Source organism: Homo sapiens, chromosome 7, assembly GCF_000001405.40.
Source record: "Homo sapiens chromosome 7, GRCh38.p14 Primary Assembly".
Classification (NCBI taxonomy): Eukaryota; Metazoa; Chordata; class Mammalia; order Primates; family Hominidae; genus Homo; species Homo sapiens.
Genome location: NC_000007.14, coordinates 4,998,255 through 5,004,694, shown reverse-complemented (window position 1 = coordinate 5,004,694; position 6,440 = coordinate 4,998,255).

The following is a 6,440-nucleotide window of genomic DNA, read 5'->3' as shown; positions in this document are numbered from 1 at the left end:
TTTACAAGATAATATTGGGTTCATCTGTAGAAATAAACAAGAAAGAATAGCCAGGAAGAAAATCTCAACAGAAAGATATTAGGCGAGAGGAGGCAGTTAGATTAAATATTTAAATATATTTTGAAGTTACCAGAATTAAAACATTTAAGCTGGGTGGGGTGGCACGCACCTGTAGTCCCAGCTACTTGGGAGGCTGAGGCAGGAGGATGGGTTGAATCCAGCCTGAGCAACATAGTAAGACTCCATCACTAAAATAAGTAAATAAGTGAAAAAAAACCGAGTTTGATTCTAGCAAAGATTTAGATAGATAATGGAATAAAATAGGAAATCCAGAAATAAACTGAGAATTTAGTAGATGATAATGGTGACATTTCTGATCCATCAGAGGAAAGATGAATTATTCAGAAAACAGTGTTGAGACTATGGCAGGACTATCTGGGAGAAAAAAAGAGTCAAGCTGTATAACTCTACTTCTTTCATCAAAGTAAATTCCATAAAGAGTATGATGTAAAATGTTAAAATGAAACTCTAAAAGTACTAGCAATAAAGAAGTCAGACACAAAAGGCCACATACTTTGATTCTATTTCTATGAAATGTCTTGGGAATCCATAGAGACAAAGATTAGTGGTTGACAGGGACTTGGGGGACATGAAAATGGGAAATGATCACTTAATGGGTGGAAGGTTTCTTTTGAGGGTGATGAAAAAAATATAAAATTAGATAATGGCAAAGATTGTACAACTGTGAATATACTGAAATCACTGAATTGCATACTTTAAAAGGGTACATTTTATATGTGAATAATGTTTTAATAACACTCTTACTAAAAAAAAAAAAAAAAAAAAAAAAGAAAGCCAGAGGCGAAGGAGTCCATAGGAGGCTCTGACCCACATAGTGAGGTCGGGAAGGTTGTCTGCAGAAGGAAGAGGAGGACAGGGTCTGAAAAGGTGTTTCATGGCAGTAGATGTTTTGCAGGTGAGAAAGGGGGCAGGAAAATTAACTCTCTTGGCTCTGAGTACCCTGTGACTCTGTCTCTTTCCAGGACTTAAGAACTTTGCATGCACTGGACAATAATTTTGAATTTAATGAGTGGTTTTTGAGTAAAATAAATGCTAGAAGAAAACAAGGGTGAATTTATTTATAATATTGTTATGAAGACTTTGTAAGCATGGCATAAAACTCAGAAACCATATAGAAAATAATTGATGTTTGCTTAGAAATAAAGTTTTATATTTAAAAACCATATACATATGATTATAGTTTCATAGTTACATTTTTAAAAAATTTTGTCTTTAGAGATAAACACTGAAAATACTTGTGGATGAAATGATGTCTGGGATCTGCTTCAAAATAATTTTTTATTAAGAGACAGGGTCTTACTCTGTCACTCAGACTGGAGTACAGTGGTACAATCATAGCTCACTTAACCTCTAACTCTTGGGCTCAAGTGATCCTCCCTCCTCAGCTTCCCGAGTAGCCGAGACTACAGGTACACACCACCACACTCAGCTAATTTTTTTAGAGATGGGGTCTCACTATATTGCCCAGGCTGGTCTCCAGCTCCCGGCTTCAAGTGACCCACCTACCTCCACCTCCCAAGTGCTGGGGTTACAAGTGTGAGCCACCATGCCTGGCCCTTAAAATAATTTGAGGTGTGGTGGAGATTAAATCTGGTAATGGGTATACAGAGTACTCTTTCTCTACTTTTTTAATATATTTGATGTATATATTTTTATATTTTGGATTTTTCCATAATAAAAAGTAAAAAATAGGCCAGGCGTGGTGGCTCACACCTGTAATCCCAGCAGTTTGGGAGGCCAAGGCAGGCGGATCATTTGAGATCAGGAGTTCAATACCAGCCTGGCCAACATGGCAAAACCTTGTCTCTACTAAAAACACAAAAAAAATGAGCCGCAGTTGGTGGCACACGCCTGTAATCCCAGCTACTCAGGAGGCCGAGGCAGGAGAATTGCTTGAACCCAGGAGGTGGAGGTTGTAGTGAGCTGAGATCGCGCCACTGCACTCCAGCCTGGGTGATGGAGTGAGACCCTGTCTCAAAAAAATATATAAAGAAAATAAAAAGTAAACAGCAAGAAGAAAGATCTATGTACAAAGTAAAAAGATAAATAAACTGGGAACAGATATTTGCAGCATAAGATATTAAAAGGGCGAATTTCTTAATTTATTAAGAACGCATACAAATTACTAAGAAAAAGACAGCCCCAAAGAAAACAGTGGGTAAAGATAACAGGTGGAACAAAAAAAAAAAAAAGTCGCCAATAAATCTGTGAAACGGTGACCAGTCTTACTTATATATGCAAAGGAGAACAATAACCAGATTCCTCTTCCATGGAGTAAACTGGCAACATGAAGAGGCTGGATAGTAGGCAGGATTGGTGAGGGTGGGGGAAGGGCGGTTGGACCTACTTGCTGTGGTGGGAGTGAAGGTTATCACCTTTTAGAAGGATATTTTCAGAATATCTGTCTGCAAATTTAAAATACATACCTCCATACAGTGAATATAATATTATTCAGCCTTAAAAGGAAGGAATTTCTGATACATGCTGTAACATGCATGAACCTTGAGGACATTATGCTAAGTGAAATCAGCCAGTCACAAAAAGTTACAAATGATTCTGCTTCTACGAAGTAGCCATAGTAGTCAAAATCATACAGATAGAAAATACAATGGTGTTTGCTAGCGGGAGGGACACGGAGGGCAGTGGGGAGAGTGGGGAGTTCATGTTGAATGGGTATACAGTTTCAGTCCGAGATGAGGAAAAGAGTTCTGGACATGGCTGGTGGTGAGGGTTGCACAACAATACGAATGTACTTAAAACCACTCACCTGCACACTGAACAAATGATTCGGATAGTAATTTTTAGGTGTGTTTTGCCACAATGAAAAAAAAAATTAAGACAGGCACAGTGGCTCACTCCTGTAATCCCAGCACTTTTCGGAGGCTGAGGCGGGCAGGTAACTTGAGGTCAGGAGTTCGAGAGCAGCCTGGCCAACATGGTGAAACCCCGTCTCTACTAAAAATACAAAAAAATTAGCCGGGTGTGGTGGCGGGCACCTGTATTCCCAGCTACTCGGGAGGCTGAGGCAGGAGAATTGCTTGAACCTGGGAGGCAGAAGTTGCAGTGAGCCGAGATCACACCACTGCACTCCAGCCTGGGTGACAGAGCAGCACTCTGTCTCAAAAAAAAAGAAAGAAAGAAAGAGAAAGAGAGAGAGAGAAAGAGAAAGGAAAGAAAGAAACAAAGACAGGCAGACAGACATACCCCTTGACCAAGTGCTCAAAAAAAAAGAAAGAAAAAGAGAGAGAAAGAGAAAGAAAAAAACAAAGACAGGCAGACAGACAGACATACCCCTTGACCAAGTGATTCCACTGCCAAACATTTAGCTTAGGTTACACAAGAAAAAATATGCCAAGCATGTTGATTTCTATAGCTCTAACAGCAAAATCTTCAAACAACTTGAATGGCCAACAATGGTGAATTCACTAAATAATGATGTAATACCATATAGCACACTACTCCGTAGAGATTTTGAAAAGGTAGTTTGAGCTCTGAGATATATGACTATGTAACCAAGGCAATGGCACATCACAGAATGTGTACTGTACGACCCATGTGTACACATAAAGTGTGTGTGTTGCGTATATATGCGATAAATTATGAGTAATTTCTATATAATCATGCTTTTCTGCAGTCACAAATAAATTGTTAATAGTGGGAAGAGTATGGATGGTGGTAGTGATAGTAAGACTTTTAAACCTTTTTGTAGTGCTTGGACTTTTTATTTTTATTTTTTTTATTTTTTGAATGTAATTCAAAATAATTTATTTTTTGAATGTAATTCAAAATAATTTATTTGAATGTAATTATGTTTATTTATTTATTTAGAGACAGCCTTGCTCTGTCACCCAAGCTGGAGTGCAGTGGTGCCATAGCTCACTGTAGCCTCCAACGCCTGGGCTCAAGAGATCCTCCCGCCTCAGCCTCCTGGGCAGCTGGGACTATAGGCATTCTTCACCACATCCAGCATTTTTAATATTTTAAGTTTTTTAAAAAAGTGACATTTTGTACTCAGAGGCTGTAAGCTTTGTCATGGTTTACAAGACGTATTTCTATTTGGATATTTTATCTAACCACTTTAAAAAAAATTTACATTTCCTCATGCCGCCTTGTCTAAAATCATAATGTTAAACCTTATTTTTGTCTTTCTACACATTTCTTCAGTTTTTCCTCTCTCCTTCCATTCTCTCTGGGTGCTCACTTTCCTGATTAGCTTAACTGCCTGTGGCTGTTACACACTGTGTTGGGATGTCTTTGGAATGGCTGCCTTCCTGCTGGGGTGACTTAATTCCCTGGAGGTCGCCATCTTCAGACTTTTTGTAGCACTCCTTGCATCTGGTACATGCATAGCATGTGCTGAAAATTTTTTCTTGGTCATGATGGACCCTCTTCCCTTGAAAGCCTCAAAGCTGCAGTCTTGGATTCTTTGTTCCTGGCACCTCAACCTGCACCTCTTTTTTACCCCTCAGTTTTTAGGAGTATCAAGTCCACCTCAAGTGGTAAGCCTAAATTCGATTTTTTCTTTTTTTTTTTTTTTTTTGAGACAGGGTCTCACTCTGTCATCTAGGCTGGAACACAGTGGCATGATCATAGCTCACTGCAGCCTGGGCTCAAGCAATCCTCCCTCCTCAGTCTCCTGAGTAGCTGAGACTATAGGTTCACACCACCACGCCTGGCTTCTTTCTTTCTTATTTTTTGTAGAATGAGGTCTCACTATGTTGCCAGGGCTAGTCTTGAACTCCTGGGCTCAACTGATCCTCCCACCTCGGTCTCCAAAGTGCTGGGATTACTTACAGGTGTGAGCCACTGCACCTGGCCCTGAGTTTCTTACTATGTGGGTGTCCTCTTAACTTTTCACATGTGCTTTCCACATCTTTGATCTTTTAACTGCCTTCTCCAAGTGCACAAAATAGAGAAAAGAGCCCTGGAAGGTGGGGCCAGGAGACCAAAGTTTAACCCAGCTCTGCCACCAGTATACTGAGTGGCTCTAGGCCCAGGTCCTCCTCTATGTCGTGAACATGAGCGCTAGACCCTGCCCCACATACTGCCACTGCCAGTGCTGGTGCTTGGCAAAGATCACCACACCCTCCTCTTTACCCATGATTCATACCTTCAGTTGTCCCCCCTCACCCGAATCTTTCTTTCAATCCATCAGCCTTTTAAGATATTAGTCTATTTTCCAGGCTTTGTTGTTTAGCTCTTGTTCCACCTTTCCTGCCTTAACCTCTTATGTCCTTTTGATTCTTTCAATCAATATTCCAAAGCATAAAAACAACCTAGTTTCTACTTCTTTTTCCCCCTCTTCATTGAAACTACAACTCAAAACCACCACCCTCTTGAAGAACTTTATGAATGAGTAGATGTATCACCACCTTGAGAAGCAGAGACAAAGCTTGGTAGGACAGAAAGGACACGAGCCTCAGAGTGACAAGGATCAGAACTGAATCCCCCTCATGATCCAGTCTCAGTTCCTTCATCTGCATAATGCATACAGTAACAGTTTACACCGCCCCGCCCCACCTAGTCAGAGCCGACAATGCAGCTTGTCCCCAGGATCCATTCCCTTCATAGGTGACACTCCTGCCCCCAAGCCCTCTGGTCATCCTTCTCCGACGCCCTAGGCTCCCACTAGCTGCACCTCATGGCTCTCCCCACTCTGTTCCGGCTTCTCAATGAATCAAAGCTCCCTGTGGACAAACAACAGGGAGATGTGGGGGAAGAGGCCAGCCAAGGAAATGGAGGGAGTTGAAGGGCAGTTTTTTAGTTCCATTCTATACAAAGCTGTAATTCCCACCCCCAACACACAAATACCTACTCTCTCTCCCTATCCCTTTCCCTTTCTCTTTTAGCGCTTAACGCTGTCTGATATACTCAATGTTTTACTCATCCTGGTTTTTGTGTCTCCACCAGAATAGTAACAGAGCTGAGACTATCCTGGATGCCATCGCAGCGGTGACTGGAACCTTTTCTTCTCTATCTCAAGTGACTTTTCTGTCCCTTGTTTGTCCAAACCACAGACCTCCTAGAACAGCAAAAGGTTCCACTTCCCCAGCACCATCACCCACCACATCTGCATCTCCTAAGGCACCTCATCACTTAACCTCTCAGAGCTCCCAGCAAAAAGACCTTTCTTCACCAGGCTCCTATATTCACTTCCTGGCCCTAAATGTGTCTGTGGCCACTCCTGCTGGGCCCAGCAGCAGAGCTCGTGGTGAAGAGGATGCACTAAGTCAGCCCAAATCTGGATTCCGACCTCCAGCTGAGCTGTCAACCCCAGGCTGGCTCACCAGCTCCTGAAACTTTACAAGGTTGAGAAGCCCCACCTAAGCCAGTCCTCTCTGTTCCGTGGACCTTGACTG